Consider the following 21232-nt stretch of genomic DNA (forward strand, 5'->3'; position numbering starts at 1 on the left):
CCTCACCTGAGACTTAGTTCCTAGGTCAGCTTGAAGAAGCAGAAGGAACTTGGTTTCCCAGAAGTCAGCAGAACAGATTTTCTGTGTGACCTTGCACAACTGTTTTCCCCTTTCCAGGCCTCAGTTTCCCCATCTGTAAAGTGAGAGAGGAGGTTTGAACCCATTGTTACCCATCAGAGCCTCTTCCAGCACTGAAGTTCCAACACAGGGCTCTGTGTCTCACCCCCATGGTGGCAGGTTACCAAGAGCCAGCAGAGAAGTCAGGGGCCCTGGGACTCCAGGGGCAGCCTCAAAGGTACATTTTGGATCCATCTTGTTCACTTGAGCAAGAAGAGAAGCCACTATGATATGGGTGCACCAGGCAGAGTGCTAGGAACATGGCAGGCATTACCTCATTTGATATTCCCCACACCATCACGAGGCAGGAAAGATCATGATAACCAGTTCACAGAGGAGTAAACCGAGGCTCAGAGAAGTTAGAGCTCACCCAAGATCAATGCAATTAGTTAGGGACAGAGCTGGGGCTTCAGTAGGTGTGTCCAGTGTCAAAGTCCATGCTTCTCCTTGGGCTGCCCTTTTTTTTGGTTGTTGTAAGAGATGGGATCTAAAGCTGTGTCGCCCAGGCTGAAGTGCAATGGCTATTCACAGGCACCATCGTGGCACACTACTGCCTTGAACTTCCGGGCTCAAGTGATCCTCCTGCCTCAGCCTCCCAGGAGCTGAGACTATGCATACTTTTTCAGATTAGTTCCCTGGGGCTGCCAAAATAAATTACTGCAGACTTGATGGCTTAAAACAGAAATGTATTCTCTCACAGTTCTGGAGGCCAGAAATCCAAAATCAAGGTGACAGCAGGGCTGTGCTTTCTCTGAAGCCTCTTGGGGAGAATCTTTCCTTGCTTCTTCCCGTTTCTGGTGGCTCCAGGCTCTTCTTAGTTTGCAGCTGCATCGTCTAATTTCTGCTTCCCTCTTCACACGGCCCTCTCCTCTCCTCCCTGTGTGTCTCTTACAAGGACACTTGTTGCTGGAGTTAGAGTCCCCCTCAATGATCCAAGATGGGCTTGAGATCCTTAACTTAATTATGACTGCAAATGATTTTGCATTTATAGTGAGCAGCTGTTATTTCTGAGAGCTCGAACAGCATTTGGGAATAAAATTAATTCTAAATACTCCAGCAATCCACACTGGATTTGGTTGGAGACCAAATGAGCTTTGGTCTAGGCTGGAGCCGTTTGTTCAGTTTGGTTCCTGAGGTACCACAGGGTCAGTGCGACTGGGTGTAGACGTTCTCACCTTGTTGCTGTTGTTGTTACTGTTTTTGATTTTAGGTCTCTTGCCCCCACCTTGAACTCATGGGCTGTTGTGCATCAGTGGGAAAAAAAAACCCTCAGTTTAGTTAACGACAAATTAGCTACCTTGGATAAATGATCAGAGTAAACATTTCCCCCACGACCAGCAGAGCTGAGTCACTTCAGACTTCAGGGCAAACCGGGTCAGGCCCAGGCATCCTTCAGGGCACCTGGGCTGGCCCAGGGTGAGCATGGGAGAAGGTAGGAAGGGAGGGAGGGAAGAAGGACGAAAGGAGACAGTGCAAGGGGAAGGGAGGATGAGGAAGAGAGATGCTCTGATTCGATCTCTTTGGTCTGTTGCTCATTACTGAGGATCAGGGCACCCTGGCACCTGCACTCAGGGTTCCTCCAGTAAGCGCTGTGTCTCCTCTGAGCCTGGCCCTGTGCTGGGTGCTAGGTCCTGGGAGACAGCATGAAGGGGACACAGTTCCTGCCTGAGGGATGTCTCAGTCTAGTGTGGAAGACAGACACATGAACATTTATTCATTTCACAAATGTGTTTTGAGTACCTGCTTTGTGCTGGGTGCTGCTGTAGGTTCTAGGCTCTTCGTGATAGCCAAGACAGACGTGATCCCTGCCCTCTGGGAGCTTATATATATATGAGATAGAGTCTCGCTCTGTCCCTCAGGCTGGAGTGCAGTGGCGTAATCATAGCTCACTGCAGCCTCTACTTCCTGCACTCAGGTGATCCTCCCACCTCAGCCTCCCGAGTAGCTGGGATTACAGGCATGAGCCACTACCTGGCAAAAAGAGTATGTGAAGGACACATAGAGTACTTTGGGTCCACAGGAGAGAAGCTAAAACTGAAGCCAAGAAGAAGGCACTGGGATTTCGGGGAAAAGCACTGGGTTTGACTCTCTGCTCAGCCTATTTGCCACTCTGCAGCCTGGGGCAAGTCCCACTGTCTGTAAATTGGGAATAATAAACACTGTCTGCCCCATAGTGAGGATTAAATAATGTAAAATACGGGGCCAGGCGTGGTGGCTCATGCTTGTAATCCCAGCACTTTAGGAGGCCAAAGTGGGTGGATCACTTGAGGTCAGGAGTTCAAGACCAGCCTGGCCAACATGGTGAAATCCCGGCTCCACTAAAAATATGAAAATTAGCCGGGCATAGTGGTGGGCAGCGGTAATCCCAGCTACTCGGGAGGCTGAGGCAGGAGAATCGCTTGAACTGGGAGACGGAGGTTGCAGTGAGCTGAGATCACACCACTGCACTCTAGCCTGGGAGACAGAATGAGACTCCGTCTCAAAAAAATAAAAAATAAAAATGAATAAATAAAGTAAAATGCTTATCCCAGTGACTGGAATATAGTAAGTGTCCAACAAATGTTTATTATCTGTTAAAAAACAAAACCAATTACAGGCTTAAGGAGCACATAAACCACACCTGAGAAAGACCTAGCACATAGTTATCCATGAATACTGGCTGCTGCCCCCTTGGGACCAGAGGTGTACATTTTGTTCTGAATTGACCTGTCCTCTTTGCTCCACTGGGCCCCACATTCGTGCCTGTGACGTTGTTCTGATGTTTATAAGTCTGTCTCTCCCTGACCCCACCTGGGCTGTGAGCACATTGTCTCCAAATCCTTAAACCAGAGCCGGGTTGGGGAATGTGTGAGAAGCAGATGAATGCTACGGTGTGGGCCCATCCCCAGCCCAGCCCGGCCCCTTGCCATGGCCAAGGTTTCACAGGTGCAGGTGGCAAGGAGGCTGGGGGAAAGCGGACACAGACCCAAGTGGTTATGAGCTTAGGCTCTGGAAACCAGATAGATATGCGCTTGTGTCCTGTCACCGCCACTTCTTAGCTGTGTGTTTTGGGTGAGCATCTAACTTAGCTCATTTGTAGGATGAGGCTGAGATGAAATCCTGCATTCACTGCTTTTGGCATAGTGCTTGGCGCATAAGAGAATATTGTTTAAAGGAAACAACTCACCCAAAGCTGCTGGTCCTGTCCCATTGACACCTTGCACAAAGGAAGGAATGTATTGATCTTCTGGGCACTGGGCATTTATTTATTTATTTTTATTTTATTTATTTATTTATTATTATTATTATTTTTGAAACAGAGTCTCGCTCTGTCACCCAGACTGGAGTGCAGTGGTGTGATCTCAGCTCACTGCAGCCTCCGCCTCCCGGGTTCAAGCGATTCTCTTGCCTCATCCTCCTGAGTAGCTGGGACTACAGGCATGCACCACCACACCTGGCTAATTTTTTTTTTTTTTTGTATTTTTAGTGGAGATGGGCTTTCATTATGTTGGCCAGGCTGGTCTTGAACTCCTGGCCTCAAGTGATTCACCCACCTCAGCCTCCCAAAGTGCTGGGATTACAGGCATGAGTCATTGTGCCGGCCTTATTTTTATTTTTATTTTTATTTTGAGACAGGGTTTCACTCTGTTGCCCAGGCTGGAGTGCAGTGGCATGATCATGGCTCACTGCAGCCTCAACCTCCCAGACTCAAGCGATCCTCCCACCTCAGCCTCCGGGGTAGCTGGGACTATAGGCATGCGCCACCACGCCCAGCTAACTTTTGTATTTTTAGTAGAGACGGGGGTTCGCCATATTGCCCCAGCTGGTCTCCAACGCCTGAGCTCAAGCAATTCACCTGCCTTGGCACCCAAAATGCTGAGACCACAGGCATGAGCCACTGCACCCGGCCTGAGCACCGGGCATTTAGACGTCGGCCGCTCTGACCAACTGCTCTGGCTTTGCCTGGGGAGAACATTCTTACCAGGAGCTTACTTGTCAGTCAGCACTTGGGTATTCAGTTGAGAAGCCCAGCTCTCCAGAGGCCCAGGAACAAGTGTGGATTGAATGTGGCCTGGCTGTGCCAGGGTACAACCAGTCTCCATCAAACTGAAAGAAAATTAATAGAGGTGGTGATGATCCTTCTGCAGTGGGGGCTTGTTTAACAGAGGAGTGTAGGGCTCCGAAAGGAACACGCATAGCCACTCAGTGCTTGGTGCTAAGGAAGCTTTGTGGATTTGGAATCAGAAAGAAAGCAAAGGGTTTCACAAAGGTATCTCACGGTCAACAGAGGTTCAGCCAGAGCTTTCCAGTCCCTACCCCCTGATTGGATCCAAAGGGTGATGATTAAACCCTAAAATAAAAAAGCAGGCCAGGTGTAGTGGCTCATACTTGTAATCCCAACATTTTGGGAGGCTGAAGTGGAGATCACTTGAGTCCAGGAGTTTGAGACCAGCCTGGACAACATAGCAAGATCCCATCTCTAAAAAAATAATAATTAAAAAAATTAGTTTGGTGTGATGGCACGCACCTGTAGTCCTAGCTACTTGGGAAAAAAAAAAGAAGAAGAAAAAGAAAAATACCAGGTCAGGGAGTACCAAAAGGGCTGCAATTTTCAACTACACACTGGCTTGTATGCTGCACGCTTTCACACGTGCGGCTCCTAGAAAGCATCATTACACTGAAATTACCAACAAGGAAGCAGGTTCAGAAAGGTGAAGTGACTTGCTCAAGATCACTGAGCTATGTATGTTGGGGAGCCAAGATCTGAATGGCTCGAAAGGACCCCCTCACCCCACTCCCAAGCTTAGAAAATAAACACAGCGACAGCTCTTGATTACCGCCTTTTTTATTGTGATAAAATATACACAACATAAAAAATACCATTGTAACCATTTTTAAGGGTGTAGTTCAGTGGCATTAAGTACATTCACACTGTTATGCAGCCATCACAACCGTTCGTCTCCAGAAGTTTTTCATCTTCCCAAACTGAATCTCCATACCATTTAAGCAGTAACTGCCCATCCTCCCCTTGCCCTAGCCCCTCGTAACCCCAGGGCTTCTGCCTCTATGACTGTGACTACTCTAGGTGCCTCATGTAAGTGGAATCATTCAGTGTTTGTCTTTTTTGACTGGCAAATTTTATTTAGCACGATATCCTCAAGGTTCATCCTTGTTGTAGCAGGTGTCAGAATTTCCTTCTTCTTCTTTTTTTTGTCTTTTGAGACAGGCTCTTGCTCTGTCGCCCATGCTGGAGTGCAGTGGTGTGATCTCGGCTTACTGCAACCTCAACTTCGGGGTCAAGCAGTCATTCCACCTCAGCCTCCCGAGTAGCTGGGACTACAAACGTGCATCACCACGCCCGGCTAATTTTTGTATTTTTTGTAAAACTGGCTTTGCCACCAGGCTAGAAATTTCCTTCTTTTTTAAGGGTGAATAATATTCCATTGTATGTCTATACCACATTTTGTTTCTCCATCTATCAATGGATATATGGGTTGCTTTCACCTTTTAGCTATTATGAAGAATACTGCTATGAACATGGGTATACACACAGCTCTTCAAAACCCTGCTTTTAATTCTTCTACCAGAAGAGGAACTGTTGGATTGATCATAAGAGGCAATTCTATTTTCAGATTTGTGAGGAATTACAGTTTTGTTTTCCACAGTGGCTGCACCATTTTACATTTCCAAAAACGGTACACGAGAGTTCCAGTTTCTTCAAATCCTTGCCAATACTTGATTTCTGTTTTTTTTTTTTTTTTCATTATCTTAATAGGTGTGAAGTGGTATCTCATTGTGGTTTTGATTTGCATTTCCCTAATGATAGTGATGTTGAGCATCTTTTCATGGGCTTATTGGCCATTTGTATATCTTTTTTAGGGAAATATTCAAGACAGGGTCTCACTTTGTCGTTCAGGCTGGAGTGTAGTGGTGTAATCATGGCTCACTGCAGCCTCGACCTCCAGGACTCAAGCGATTCTCCCACCTCGGCCCTCCAAGTAGCTGGGACTACAAGCGCATGTCACCATGCCCAGCTAATTTTTGTATTTTTTGTAGAGATGGGGTTTTGCCATGTTGGCCAGGCTGGTCTCAAACTCTTGGACTCAAGCGATCCACCCACCTCAGCCTCCCAAAGTGCTAGGATTACAGATGTGAGCTACTGTGCTCAGCCCTTGTTCATTTTTTAATTAACTTATTTGCTTTTGGTTGAGTTGTAGGAATTCTTTATATAGTCTGGATATTAACCCCTTATCAGATATGTGATTTGCAAATCTTTTCTCCCATTCCATGAGTGACCTTTTCATTCTGTTGACAGTGTCATTTGTTTTTGTTTTTTTGAGGGGGTGACAGAGTCTCACTGTGTTACCCAGACTGGAGTGCAGTGGCACAATCTCGGCTCACTGCAACCTCCACCTCCCAGGTTCAAGCGATTCTTGTGCCTCAGTCTCCCGAGTAGCTGGGATTACAGGTGTGCACTACCACTCTCGGCTAATTTTTGTATTTTTTTGTAGAGATGGGGTTTCAGCATGTTGGAGAGACTGGTCTCAAACTCCTGACCTCAGGTGACCCACCTGCCTTGGCCTCCCAAAGTCCTGGGATGATAGTGTCATTTGAGGCACAAAAGTTTTAAATGTGATATAGTCAGCCGGGCATGGTGGCTCATGCCTGTAATCCCAGCACTTTCGGAGGCCAAGGCGGGCAGATCACAAGGTCAGGAGTTCGAGACCAGCCTTACCAATATGGTGAAACCCCGTCTCTACTAAAAATACAAAAATTAGCTGGGGCCAGGCACGGTGGCTCATGCCTGTAATCCCAGCTCTTTGGGAGGCCGAGGTAGGTGGATAACTTGAGGTCAGGAGTTCAAGACTAGCCTGGTAAACATAGTGAAACCCTGTCTCTACTAAAAATACAAAAAAAAAATTAGCCGGGCATGCTGGTGGGAGCCTATAATCCCAGGTGCTTGGGAGGCTGAGGCGGGAGAATTATGAGGCAGAGGTTGCAGTGAGCCGAGATTGCACCACTGCACTCCAGCCTGGGCGACAGAGTGAGACTCCATCTCAAAAAAAAAAAAAAAAATTGATATAGTCCAACTTAATGTAGTTGTTGTTGTTGTTGTGGCCTAGGCTTTTGGTGTCATATCCAAGAAATCATTGCCAAATCTAAGAAGAAATTTAAAAAAGAGGAAAAAAAGAAAGAAAAACAAACAAATAAACACAAGAAATCATTGCCAAATCTGGTGTCATGAAGCTTTCCCACTATATTTTCTTCTAGGAGTTTTATGGTTTTAGCTCTTACATCTTTGATCCATTTTGAGTTAATTTTTGTATATGGTGTAAGGGAAAGGCCCAACTTCATATCCACAACCTTTTGTAACAGAAAAAAAAATTAGAGAACAACAGTAGAGTTTTGGGAAATGGAGCCATAAACAATTTCTCTTTCTAGAAAGTTGGGTCTCTGGCTCCCTACTGCCTTGTGCTCCATCTGGCTTCCACACAGTAGTCAGCGTGATCTTTTAAGAAACTCACATAAATGAACCACATCACTTCCCTGTTTAAAGTCTTCAATGGCTTCCTGTTACACTCAGAGTAAACCCAAACTTCTTGCCATAGCCCAAAGGCCCTGTGTGATTTGACTCCTGCAGATTTCCGCTGCCGCCTCTCCTGTTGCCTCCTTTCTGGCTCACTACACTGTCGTCACATGTGATTTCTGACCATTCCTGCAGCCCATCAGGCTCTTTCCTGCTACAGGGACTTTGTACATGCTGTTCCTTCTCTTTGGACCAACCTTCCTCCTTCACTTCACATGGCTAACTCTCATCCTTCCAACCTGGCAGAAATGTTGCTGTGTCTTAGATCAAAATATAGACTGGATGGCTTCAACAACAGAGATTTAGTTTCTCAGTTCGTAAGGACAGAAGCCCAAGATCAAGCTGCCACCACGGTCAGGTTCTGGTGAGGGCTGTCTTCCTGGCCTCTAGATGGCTGCCTCATCACTGCCCTCACATGGCAGAGAGAAAGAGAGAGAGAGCAAACTCGGGCAGATCACCTGAGGTCAGGAGCTGGAGACCAGCCTGGCCAACATAGTGAAACCGCATCTCTACTAAAAATACAAAAATTAGCTGGGCGTGGTGGTGGGCGCCTGTAATCCCAGCTACTAGGGAGGCTGAGGCACGAGAATCGCTTGAACCCAGGAGGTGGAGGTTGCAGTGAGCCGAGATTACAGCACTGCACTCCAGCCTGGGCGACAGAGCAAGACTCTGTCTCAAAAAAAGAAAAAAAAAAAAAAAGAGAGAGAGAGAGCGAGCAAGCTCTCTGGGGCCTCTCTTGTAAGTGCAGTAATCCCACCATCCCAAAGGCCCCATTGTATTTATTCAGAGTTGTATCACATGGAGGCTGTTTGCATTTTCTTTCTTTCTTTCTTTCTTTCTTTTCTTTCTTTCTTTCTTTCTTTCTTTCTTTCTTTCTTTCTTTCTTTTCTCTTTCTTTCTTTTTCTTTCTTTCTTTCTTTTTCTTCCTTCCTTCCTTCCTTTTCTTTCTCTTTCTCTCTTTCTTCCTTCCTTCCTTTCTTTACTTTCTTCCTTTCCCTTCCTTTCCTTTCCTGTCCCCTTTCCTGTCCCCTTTCCTTTCCCCTTTCCTGTCCCCTTTCCTTTCCGACGGAGTTTGGCTCTTGTGGCCCAGGCTGGAGTTCAGTGGCGCGATCTCAGCTCACTGCAACCTCTGCCTCCCGGGTTCAACCAATTCTCCTACTTCAGCCTCCTGAGTAGCTGGGATTACAGGTGCCCGCCACCATGCCCAGCTAATTTTTATGTTTTTAATAGAGATGGGGTTTCGCCATGTTGGCCAGGCTGGTCTTAAACTCCTGACTTCAGGTGATCTGCCTGCCTTGGCCTCCCAAAGTGCTGGGATTACAGCCGTGAGCTACCGCGCCCAGCCGAGCCTGTTTGCATTTCTGACCTGAGGACACCTCAGAGGTGACAGGACCAGGGCAGAGGTCCAGCCCAAATTGACATGAGTGCACTTAAATGGAAGGGCCCAGGTTCTTTGACGTTGTACATGTACCAGCTGAGGATCAAATGGCATGTGTTATTGGGAGAAGCAGTCTCTGTGGACATGGATACTGAAAGAATAATAAAGGCTGGGCACAATGGCTCAGGCCTGTAATCCCAGCACTTTGGGAGACTGAGGTGGGTGGATTGCTTGAGCCCAGGAGTTTGAGACCAGCCTGGACAACATGGTGAAACCCTGTCTCTACAAATAATTTAAAAATTAGCCAGGTGTGGTGGTGTGCACCTGTAAACACAGCTACTTGGGAGACTGAGGTAGGATCGCTTGAGCCCAGAAGGCCAAAGCTACAGTGAGCTATGATTGCACCACTGCACTCCAGCATGGGCAACAGGGTGAGAACCTGCCTCAAAAATAAATAAATAAAAATAAATAAATAAAACCAGAAAATCAAGTGTTGTGTTGGGCTTAGGGCTCTCATATGTAAACTGCAGAATAAAGCCAAAAACAAAAAACAAAAAAAACCCAGTTATTGGAAAAAAAATTTGCCAGGCACGGTGGCTCATGCCTGTAATCCCAGCACTTTTGGGGGCCAAGGCAGGTGAATCATGAGGTCAGGAGTTCCAGACGAATCTGGCCAAGATGGTGAAACCCTGTTCCCTACTAAAAATACAAAAATTAGCCGGGCGGGATGGCGGGTACCTGTAATCCCAAGCTACTCAGGAGGCTGAGAAAGGAGAATCGCTTGAACCTGGGAGGCGGAGGTTGCAGTGAGCCGAGATCGTGCCACTGCACTCTAGCCTGGACAGAGCAAGACTCCGTCTAAAAAAAAAAAATGACAGCAAGAGAAACCCCAATACCATCACGTTGGGAGTTAGGGCTTCAGTATATGAATTTGAGGGAACTGAATTCAGTTCATAGCACACCTCCTCAGAGAAGCCATTGTTGACCTTCTAATCTAAGCCAGGGTCCCTCCACACTCCCCAGCCTGTCACCCCCACTAGGCAGTGTCCATCAATATACTCCGTTCTTATCCTTCATGGCATCTTGGTAATAGCAGGTAACTGTTCATTAATTAATGCAGCAGTTTGTTCAATGTCTGCCCCCTCCCTAAGGTCACAGATTTCAAGAGGCCAGACTGTCGCCATTACTCCTAGATCACTTATTCAGTGCCTGGCACAGTTCAAGTGTCCACTTAATACCTGTTAGATGAGTGAGCAAACCCCAGTTTATAGTAAGTTCACATTCTTTTTCACTGTGAGAGGTGGGGAAGGAAGGAAGATAACAAGTACTGAGTGGTTACCAGATGTTGGCACTTAGACTGAGTTCAATACCAGCTCTGCCACTTACTGGTCATATGACCTTGGATAAATCACCTCGCCTCTTGTGTCTCAGTTTACCTTCTCTAAGAGATGTCAATACATATTTGGACCACGAGAAACAACTGGAAGAGGAATGACAGCAGGGGTGAGGTGTGGGACAGAAAACAGGGGCAAGAGGATGATTGTCTAGAGGGAGTACTGGGACTGTTAGGCACCCCCATCTTTGTATCCTGCACAACCAGATGGCTACCCTCCACTCTGCAAGAAGGCAAGGTTTTTTCTTTTCCTGGAGAAGTTAACATGGAGGAAGTCTGGACTCAGGGCCAGCAGACACAGAAAGGGTCAGGACAAGATACCAAAGGTAAATGGGGAGCAGGAGGCCAGGCACGGTGGCTCATGCCTGTAATCCCAGCACTTTGGGAGGCTGAGGTGGGAGGATCACTTGAGCCCAGGAGTTGGAGACCAGTCTGAGCAACATAGTGAGACCCTCATCTCTATTTTAATTTTTTTTTTAATGGGGAGATGGGGGGACTCCCGGGCCCTTTCTCCAGCTCTGCCAACAGAATTCTGGCAGCCAGAGGTATGCAACCCGGGTGAGAGATGGGGAGATTATTTTCTGAAGGCCTGAAGGCCAGAGAAGAGACCTACGGAAATTGATATTTACATGTGCCTCAGTGTAAAAGCCAGATCATCACTCAGTTCCCCTACAGTGAAGCCCACCAGTTGACAGAGCCCTCACACTGATACACATACACACACACACATGCACACACACACACGCACACACAGGGGCACACACACGTGCCCACGCACACGTGCACACGCACGGAGCTGCCAGTTATTTAGTGCTTCATTTAAAAATCAGCGTTTAATTATATTATATATCACCAGATACTTGAAGGAATTCTCCAGGATAAGAGAGGAAGGCTAAAGCAGATGAAGGAACAAAAATGTTTGAAGCAAGTAAAAGATGCAGAGAGCAGAAGAAAATACTAAACAAGGCTTCTTAGCATCCTCGGAGAGTTAAGAGAAGGTATCATGTCCCTGAAATAAGATACTATAAGTGCTATATGAAAAAGGAATAACAAGAGAAGAAGAAAGGGCACTGGAAAAATAAAACATGAGAGTCAAACTTTTTTTTTTTTTTTTTTTTTTGAGACGGAGTCTCGCTCTGTCGCCCAGGCTGGAGTGCAGTGGCGCGATCTCGGCTCACTGCAAGCTCCGCCTCCCAGGTTCACGCCATTCTCCTGCCTCAGCCTCCAGAGTATCTGGGACTACAGGTGCCCGCCACTACGTCTGGCTAATTTTTTTGTATTTGTAGTGGAGACAGGGTTTCACTGTGTTAGTCAGGATGGTCTCAATCTTCTGACCTCGTGATCTGCCCACCTCGGCCTCCCAAAGTGCTGGGATTACAGGCTTGAGCCACGGCGCCCAGCTGAGAGTCAAACTTTTTAAAAAGACAGGGGCCAGGCATGATCTCTTGTGCCTGTAATCCTAGAACTTTGGGAGGCCAATGTGTAAGGAACACTTGAACCCAGGAGTTCGAGACCAGCCTAGGCAACATAGGGAGACTGCATCTCTACAAATTTTATTTTTTTGAGACGGAGTTTCACTCTTGTTGCCCAGGCTGGAGTGTAGTGGCACAATCTCAGCCCACCGCAACCTCCACCTCCTGGGTTCAAGCGATTCTCCTGCCTCAGCCTCCAGAGTAGCTGGGATTACAGGCACGCTCCACCACGCCTGGCTAATTTTGTATTTTTAGTAGAGATGAGGTTTCTCCATGTTGGTCAGGCTGGTCTCCAACTCCTAACCTCAGGAGATCCACCCACCTCAGCCTCCCCAAGTGCTGGGATTACATGCGTGAGCCACTGTGCCCAACCTAAAAAATTTTAATTAGCTAGGCATGATGGTGCACCTGCGACCCCAGCTACTCAGGAGTCTGAGGTGGGAGGATTGATTGAGCCTAGGAGGTTGAGGCTGCAGTGAGCTGTGATCACACGAGTGCACTCCAGCCTTGGTGACAGAGCAAGATCTGTCTCAAAATAATAATAATAATAATAATAATAATAATAATAATAATAATAATAATAAAAGGTCAATGGAAGAATCGAGAGATAACAAAAAGGAAATTTCCCAGAGGATATAACAAAAGAGGATGTGAGGAAATTAGAGGATCTATCCAGGAGGCCCAATATCTGACTAAGGGATTTTCCAGGGATCCCAGAGAAGGCAAAGGGGAGGAAATGGTATGAGAACGTTTTATACTGAAGGACATGAATCTTCACACACACACGGAGCTGCCAGTTCACCTAGGAGAGATGGGGAAGGAAGGAAGGTAACAAGTACTGAGTGGTTACCCTTAGAGGGCCCAAAAGAAATGAAAAAGAGCCACTTGAAAGCACACCGTCACAAAGTGTCAGACTACCAGGGATAAAGAGAGGAACCGACAAGTTATGCAGGTAGAGAGGACAGATCACATACAAAACATCAGGAATCAGAATGGTTTTAGATGCTTCAGTGGCAACACTGGAGTCTGGACAATGAGGGAGCCATGCCTTCAAAATTCTGATGGAAAATTACTTCCAACCTACCATTTCATCTCCAGTCAAAGAAATCAGAAATTAGGATAGAATAACGACATTTTCAGACAAGCAAGGGTGTAAAAATTCTACCTCCTATGTGCCCTGTCTCAGGAAGTGATTAGAGGATGTCTTCCACCAAAATGAAGGCATAGATCAAGACAGAGGAAGACTTGCAAGCCAAGAAACGGGTGCTCTAGCCGAGGAGGACAGGTGCGCAGCTGGTGTAGAATAGAAAGCAAACAGTGCAGATGGAAAGTGGGGAGGAGGCCGGGCACCGTGGCTCACGCCTGTAATCCCAGCACTTTGGGAGGCCGAGGCGGGCGGATCACCTGAGGTTGGGAGTTCGAGACCAGCCTGACCAACATGAAGCAACCCCGTCTCTACTAAAAATACAAAATTAGCCGGGCGTGGTGGCTCATGCCTGTAATCCCAGCTACTCGGGAGGCTGAGGCGGGAAAATTGCTTGAACCGGGGAGGCGGAGGTTGCGCCATTGCACTCCAGCCTGGGCAATGAGAGAGAAACTCCGTCTCAAAAAAAAGAAAAAAAAAAAAAAAAGAAGAAGCCGGGCGTGGTGGCTCACGCCTGTAATCCCAGCACTTTGGGAGGCTGAGGTGGGCGGATCATGAGGTCAGGAGATGGAGACCATCCTGGCTAACACAGTGAAACCCCATCTCTACTAAAAATACAAAAAATTAGCCAGGCGTGGTGGCGGGTGCCTGTAGTCCCAGCTACTTGGGAGGCTGAGGCAGGAGAATGGCATGAACCTGGGAGGCGGAGCTTGGAGTGAGCCGAGATCACGCAACTGCCCTCCAGCCTGGGCGACAGAGCAAACTCCATGTAAAAAAAAAAAAAAAAAAAAAAGAAAAGAAAGAAAGAAAAGAAAGTGGGGAGGAAAGGTCCAGGACATAGCTCATAGCTCACTAGGAAAACAAAAAGAACTGGTAGATTATGCAATTGGATGGAAGAGACATCTTATAGGTCTTTTGGAATGTTTGAGGAGATTTAGCAATATGTACACAGAACTAAGCAAGTGGAGAAAATTGGCGCAATTATTACCTCTGGGAAACTTAAATGTCTGCACTAAAAAATGTAATTATAGTATGTTCTTTGGCTTAGCAGTGGACAATATCTACAAAGTCGTAAGAATGTAAACCCTAAATATTGAGTTAGCTAAAAATGGTGATAAAACTATATTGGAGCCAGACATGGTGGTGAGCACCTGTAGTCCCAGCCACTCAGGAGTCTGAGGCCAGAGAATCGTTTGAGCCCAGGAGATGGAGGCTGTAGTGCACTATGGTTGCACCTGTGAATAGCCATTGCACTCCAGCCTGGACGACATAGCACGACCCCATCTCTTAGGATTTTCTTTCTTTCTTTTTCTTTTTATTTATTTTTTATTTTTTATTTTTGAGATGGAGTTTTGCTTTTATTGCCCAGGCTGGAGTGCAGTGGGATGGTCTTGGCTCACTACAACCTCTGCCTTCCTGGGTGCAAGCAATTCTCCTGCCTTGGCCTCCCGAGTTGCTGAGACTACAGGTGCCCGCCACCACACCCAGCTAATTTTTTGTATTTTTAATAGAGAAGAGGTTTCACTATGTTGGCCAGGCTAATCTCAAACTCCTGGCCTCAGGTGATCTACCCACCTTGGCCTCCCAAAGTGCTGGGATTACAGACGTGAGCCACCGCGCCCAGCCAAGACCCCGTCTCTTAGAAACAAACAAATAAACAACTATGTTGGGAGGATGGAGAGAGGAACAATTGAGTGATGTGATGAGTTAGCCCTCATCTACTGTAATAGGGCATTGTGAGGAACATTACTAGTGTTCACTAATATCTGCTTCTCCCTGCTTTGGGTCACATAGAAGACTATTTCTCAACCCCTTGCAGTTGGGCATGGCCACATGACTACTTTTGGCCAGTCAGCTTCAGGTGGAAGTGATGTGTCGCCACTGGACTAAAGTTTAGATGATCCTGCAGCTGCCTCTTCTCCCTCTCTGGTGATCAAGGGGGCCTTGGGTTAAGACAGCAGGGCCACAGGGGTAAAGCAGCCTGGAATGGCCTCTTGGAATTTAGATTGTCCTGGAAACACTGAATGGACTCTGTGAGAGAGAAACCTTTCATTTGTTAAACCACTGGGATTTGGGTATTTAGGCATAGCCTTGCTTAACCAAATCCACGCTTCAACAAGTACTATCTAAAATGGATGAATCAAGAAATAGCCACGTAAGCATATTCTTTAGAATTGTGGAGATAATCACTATAAGAATAGCTAAAAACATTCAAAGTGATTGCCCCTGGGGAACAGGACAGAGGAATAAGAGAGCAAGGATGGGTAGAGGGGCAGCTGTTCTCATTATTGTCCTGTATGACTTTTTACACTATGTAATTGTGTTACATTGGCAGAAATAAAATTTTCTTTTTTTTTTCTTTTTTTTTTTTGAGATAGGGTTTCACCTAGTCGCCCAGGCTGGAGTGCAGTGGCGCAATCTCACTGCAGCCTCTGCCTCCCGGGTTCAGGTGATTCTCCTGCCTTAGCCTCCTGAGTAGCTGGGATTACGGTGCTCACCATCACGCCTGGCTAATTTTTGTATTTTTTGTAGAGATAGGGTTTTTCCATGTTGTCCAGGCTGGTCTTCAACTCCTGAGCTCAAACGATCTGCCTGCCTCGGCCTCTCAAAGTGCTGGGATTACAGGCATGAGCCACCACATCTGGCCAGAAATAAAATTTTCTAAAAAGCTATATACATATATGTAATTTGGAAGGATCCTCACCAAGTCATGATAGTGGCTGTCTCTCGGGAGAGAGGGCGTGCTACACAGAACATGTGAGGAACTACAGATGTGGCCAGACCCGGGATGGCACTGTGGGAAAGGAGGCTACCCAAATGGAAAGCCAGTTTAGGGAGCTGTTTGTTTTTAGACATGGGGTGTTGCTCTGTTCCCCAGACTGGAGTGCAGTAGCATTATCAGAGCTCACTGCAGCCTCCAACTCCCAGGATCAAGTGTTCCTCCTTCCTCTGCCTCCTGAGTAGCTGGGTCTATAGGCACACTCCACCATGCCCAACTAATTTTTTTTTTTTGAGACAGTGTCTTGCTGTGTTGCCCAGGCTGGTCTCAAACTCCTGGGCTCAAGCAGTCCTCGACCTCAGCCTCCCAAAGTTTTAGGATTACAGGCGTGAGCCACCATACCTGGCCAAATCTGCCTTTTAGAGTGAGCCGCCAACTTACGTGGGTGATGAATTGTGGGAGAGGGAGGCTGCCGCAGTGTCCCTGTGCGAGCTGGTGAGGTTGGACTAAGACATCCACATCACAGATGTCTCTTGTGAGCCTGCTTTTTTTTTTTTTGAGACAGAGTCTCACCCTGTCACCCAGGCTGGGGTGCAGTGGCATGATCTAGGCTCACTGCAACCTCCGCCTCCTGGGTGCAAGCAATTCTTCTGTCTCAGCCTCCTAAGTAGCTGGGATTACAGGAGCATGCCACTACGCCCGGCTAATTTTTGTATTTTAGTAGAGACGGGGTTTCACCGTGTTAGTCAGGCTGGTCTCGAACTCCTGACCTCGTGATCCACCCACCTCAGCCTCCCAAAGTGCTGGAATTACAGGCATGAGCCACTGCGCCTGGCTGAGAGCCTGCTTTTTTGCCGGGCACTGCTGGTAGGCCCAAGGGTACAGCAGGGAACAAAATGGACGAAGTCTTCTGGCTTCAGGGAACTTACATGGGCGAGAGACCCAAGTGGGCAGAAAAGAAGATGAATGTAAGTCAGGAAGTGGTTTGTGCTGTAATGAAAAATGAAGCCGCTGAAGGAGCTAGAGAGAGTTGGTGGGGAGGATGGTACTTTAGATAGAGTGGTCAGGGAGGGCCTCCCTGAGGAGGTGACATTTGAATAGAGTCCTGAATTAAGTGATGGAGCAAGCCATGCAAAATATGGGGGGACCGGGGTTCCAGGCAGAGGCAAGAGCAAGTCCAGAGGCCCCGAAGTGGGGAGGTGGGAGCGGGCTTGACGTGTCCAGGGAACATCAAAGAGGCCAGTGTGTGGCAGGGGCACATCGGTGGAGGGGAACATGCTGGGAACTGAGATCCCAAAGGTAGTCGGGGCAGCTTGCAGAACAGAGAGAATTTTGGGAAGTCGCTGGGGGACTGAGAGCAGGGGAGTGGCATGATTTGTCTTGGGGCTGGAGAAGGGAGTCTACGGTGGCCAGAAGGACGGGGCGTGGCTGTGGGTGGAGGGGAGAGAGGGGGGCCGTGAGGAGAGGAGCCCGGGGCCCTACCTGGCGGGCAATCAGCGCTGGGCCGCTCAGCCCGCTTGGACCAACTACAGCAGCTTCATCACCCACTTCCCAGCATCCCAGCCCCCTCTGGGAATGGAAGGATCCTTCACAAATCAAAATAGCAGGCAAAGAACAGCCTCTAATTGTTCTGCGTAAGAGCAGAGAAATTAGACGAGTCAGCTGTGGGGTTGAGACCGCCTCCCACACAGCTGTGATCCCACACCCCACTGAAGACACTTCCTGAGACTTGCAATTCTGCTGTATCTGAGCAAAACTTTTTCCTTCTCCAGCCCCAGAGCAAATGACAGCTATTTGGGAGGGAGTAGGATAGATGCTGCCCTGGAGGACAATGAGTGAGTCAATTTCTTTTCAACCAAAAATACCAGTCACTTCATGCAGGAACAGCCTTAGCTGATGCGAGTTTATTCCGTCATTCAAAAACACTGAGTGCCTCGTCCTAGGTGTCCAGGGCTGGGCATGGGATCAGAGCGATTCTAAAGGAATGGAGGCATACAGTATGGGGCCACCCTTGGGGTGGTGGAAAGAGGGAGCGTGGGAGTCAGGAGGTCTCAGTTCTCGCCTTGGCTCCGCCACTGTTGCTGTGTGACCTTGGGTGAGTCCTGCTGCCTCTCTGGGCTTCAATCTCCCTGTCTCTCCCAAATGGAGGCTTTAGGCTACATAGTAATTCTCAAACTTTTGAGTTCATAAGAATCACTTGGGGTGAGGAGGTGCTTCTTAAAGATGAAGATTCCCAGGCCCCAGTTCCAGAGATAAAGATCGCTCAGATCTGAGGTGCAGTTCAGGACCCTGCATTTCTTCCAGGCTCTTCCGGTAATTCTGAAGCGATACCTCAGGCCACGCTTTAATAAAATCACTTCCCCTCAATGTGTCTCTCTTCCTGCTCTGGAATTCAAGGAGTCACTCATGTAACCCTCCTCTGGGTATCTCAGATCACTCCAGAGGCATGAGAGCAGCGTCATATAGCCCTGTCTCGGGGTGCCCGTGTGTTGCTGTGGTGGTGACACTGCATTTGGGAAGGTCTGGCTCAGTGTATGCAGTCTCCCCCAGGCTACCTGTTGCCCTGCCCAGGCCCTGGTGCAGAAGGGGCCATGGCTGTAAACTGGCCAAACAAGGGGCCAACTGTAATGTAGATAGCTGTGCAGGGCAGAGAGCATGGAGGGATGCTGGGAGTGCTGGGTGCAGAGTTTGGCTATAGACATCTGGCCTGGACCCCTGGGCTCATGCCTTGGGTTGGATGTGTGACCCTGTCACCTGCTCCGCTTCCCCACACCACTGTGGATGGGAAGAGGGATGCACTGTGGCTTCTGCAGAGAGGTGAGTCCAGTTGCATGGGGATGAAGAGGCCTGGATGGAGCCGCAGGAAGGACTGGGGGCTCTGGTCTACCACCGAGGACACCCAGGGGGTCTCAGACCCCAGCCAATCTACTAGGCAGTGTCCCTTCCTCAGAGTTGACCAATCATACTCCCCAAAGGCTAGGTCAGTGCCAGGAGCTAGAGAATCAAGTCACTCTGGTCTAGCCCCCAGCTCCATTCTTCACCTGTGAAGAAAAAGAACAGCGATTGTGTCCAGAGTGCTCTCCATGCATCAGGCTTGGAGCTAAGTGCTGTGTTAGCTTATTAAATTTTCACAGCCATCCTAAGAGGTTGCTACAAACATTACCCCTCTTTTTACAGTTATGGATGCAGAGCCTTAGAGAGTTCAAGTTTCTAACTCAGAGTCACTCAGCTAATATAATAAGTAGTAGAGGCAGGATTAGAACCCAGATTTGCTTTCTGCTGGAGCCCAGTTTTATTTTTAAACATATTGCTTAGTACCTTTCAGAAGATAAGTATTTTTCTTTTTCTTTTCTTTTATTTACTTATTTATTTTTGAGACAGTGTCTTGCTCTGTCAACCACTCCGGAGTACAGTGGTACGATCTTGGCTTGCTGCAACCTCTGCCTCCTGGGCTCAAGCGACCCTCCCACCTCAGTCTCCTGAGTGATGGGACTATAGGCACTCACCACCATGCCTGGCTAATTTTTGTATTATTATTATTATTATTGTTATTTGTAGATATGGGGTTTCACTGTGTCGCCCAGGGTGGTTTTGAACTAGGCTCAAGCAATCCACCTGCCCTGCCTTGGCCCCCCAAAGTGCTGGGATTACAGGCATGAGCCACTGCACCTGGCTTAGGATTTTTCTTTTTTGTTTTTGAGACGGAGTCTCGGTCTGTCGCCCAGGCTGGAGTGCAATGGCACTATCTCGGCTCACTGCAACCTCTGCCTCCCGGGTTCAAGCAGTTCTCTTGCCTCAGCCTCTCGAGTAGCTGGGACAACAGGCGTGCACCACTACGCCCAGCTAATTTTTGTATTTTTTGTAGAGACAGGGTTTCACCATGTTGGTTGGTCAGGATGGTCTCAATCTCTGGACCTCGTGATCCGCCCACCTCGGCCTCCCAAAGTGCCGGGATTACAGGTGTGAGCCACCACACCCGGCCTAGGATTTTTCTTTTTTTTTCTTTTTTTTTTTTTTTGAGACGGAGTCTCGCTTCTGTGGCCCAGGCGGGAGTGCAGTGGCGCAATCTCGGCTCACTGCAAGCTCCGCCTCCCGGGTTCACGCCATTCTCCTGCCTCAGCCTCCCGAGTAGCTGGGACTACAGGCGCCCACCATCACGCCCGGCTATTTTTTTTGTATTTTTAGTAGAGAGGGGGTTTCACCGTGTTAGCCAGGATGGTCTCGATCTCCTGACCTCGTGATCCGCCCGCCTCGGCCTCCCAAAGTGCTGGGATTACAAGCGTGAGCCACCGCGCCCGGCCAGGATTTTTCTTAAAACACCTTCTGCCAAAGTTATTCACAACCAGAGAAATCCTTTTGCTTCTGTTGTCGGGGAAAGGAGCGATGCCAAATCAGATAGTGCAGGGTTCTAGTCCCACCTTTGCCCCAACCCTTTTTTTTTTTTTTTTTTGAGACAGAGCTTCGCTTTTATCGCTCAGGCTGAAGTGCAATGGCGCAATCTCGGCTCACTGCAACCTCTGCCTCCCAGGTTCAAGCAATTTTCCTGCCTCAGCCTCCCAAGTAGCTGGAATTACAGGCACCCACCACCACACCCAGCTAATTTTTGTATTTTTAGTAGAGATGGGGTTTCGTCTTGTTAGCCAGGATGGTCTTGAACTCTTGACCTCAGGTGATCCACCCGCCTTGGCCTCCAAAAGTGCTGGGATTACAGTTGTGAGGCACCATGCCTAGCCTCCCCTGACCTTTTGCATGTCCTTAGGAAAGCTACTTCCCTTCCTTGAGTTTCATGTGAAACTGAAATCTGTGAAATGGGATTAATTACACATGCATTTCTTTCTAAGGTACACTAAGATGAAGACGGCCACCAACATCTACATCTTCAACCTGGCCTTAGCCGATGCGCTGGCCACCAGCACGCTGCCTTTCCAGAGTGCCAAGTACCTGATGGAGACGTGGCCCTTCGGCGAGCTGCTCTGCAAGGCTGTGCTCTCCATCGACTACTACAATATGTTCACCAGCATCTTCACGCTCACCATGATGAGTGTTGACCGCTACATCGCTGTCTGCCACCCTGTCAAGGCCCTGGACTTCCGCACGCCTGCCAAGGCCAAGCTGATCAACATCTGTATCTGGGTCCTGGCCTCAGGCGTTGGCGTGCCCATCATGGTCATGGCTGTGACCCGTCCCCGGGGTGAGTGAGTGAGTGCACCATGGCACAGGCCACTGACCACAGGAGGCAGTACATGGGCCTTTGTGGGCTTGCAGGGCACTTACCAGGGTGAGTGTAGGTGGCTCATCAGCAGAGGTTGGATTCTGATCAAGATCAATGATGGTGTGGTGGCTGGCCAGTGGGAGTGTAGAAGAAGGTCAACCAATGGGAATGGGAATAGCTGGCCAGGGGGGCATGCGGATGGTTGACTATTGTGAAGATGAATGACTGAT

The 21232-nt window shown here is 48.2% G+C and overlaps 1 protein-coding gene across 1 annotated transcript in view, besides 1 other annotated feature; it reads left to right on the plus strand.

Annotated features, from left to right (window-relative positions):
- The window catches only part of OPRD1 (opioid receptor delta 1), a 59098-nt gene that overhangs the window by 26153 nt on the left and 11713 nt on the right, over window positions 1–21232 (plus strand). The window contains exon 2 of the mRNA NM_000911.4: window positions 20632–20981. Coding sequence (NP_000902.3) covers window positions 20632–20981 — 350 coding nt within the window. The remainder of the gene's footprint in view (window positions 1–20631; window positions 20982–21232) is intronic.
- Window positions 16627–17128: an enhancer, noted in NCBI's record as "H3K4me1 hESC enhancer chr1:29181461-29181962 (GRCh37/hg19 assembly coordinates)". NCBI's record gives its function as "activates a minimal SCP1, AML or CMV promoter by ChIP-STARR-seq in primed H9 embryonic stem cells {active_cell/tissue: H9 hESC(primed)}" and the evidence as "EXISTENCE:reporter gene assay evidence [ECO:0000049][PMID:30033119]".

The sequence above is a fragment of the Homo sapiens genome, chromosome 1 (genome assembly GCF_000001405.40).
Source record: "Homo sapiens chromosome 1, GRCh38.p14 Primary Assembly".
NCBI classification, from domain to species: domain Eukaryota; kingdom Metazoa; phylum Chordata; class Mammalia; order Primates; family Hominidae; genus Homo; species Homo sapiens.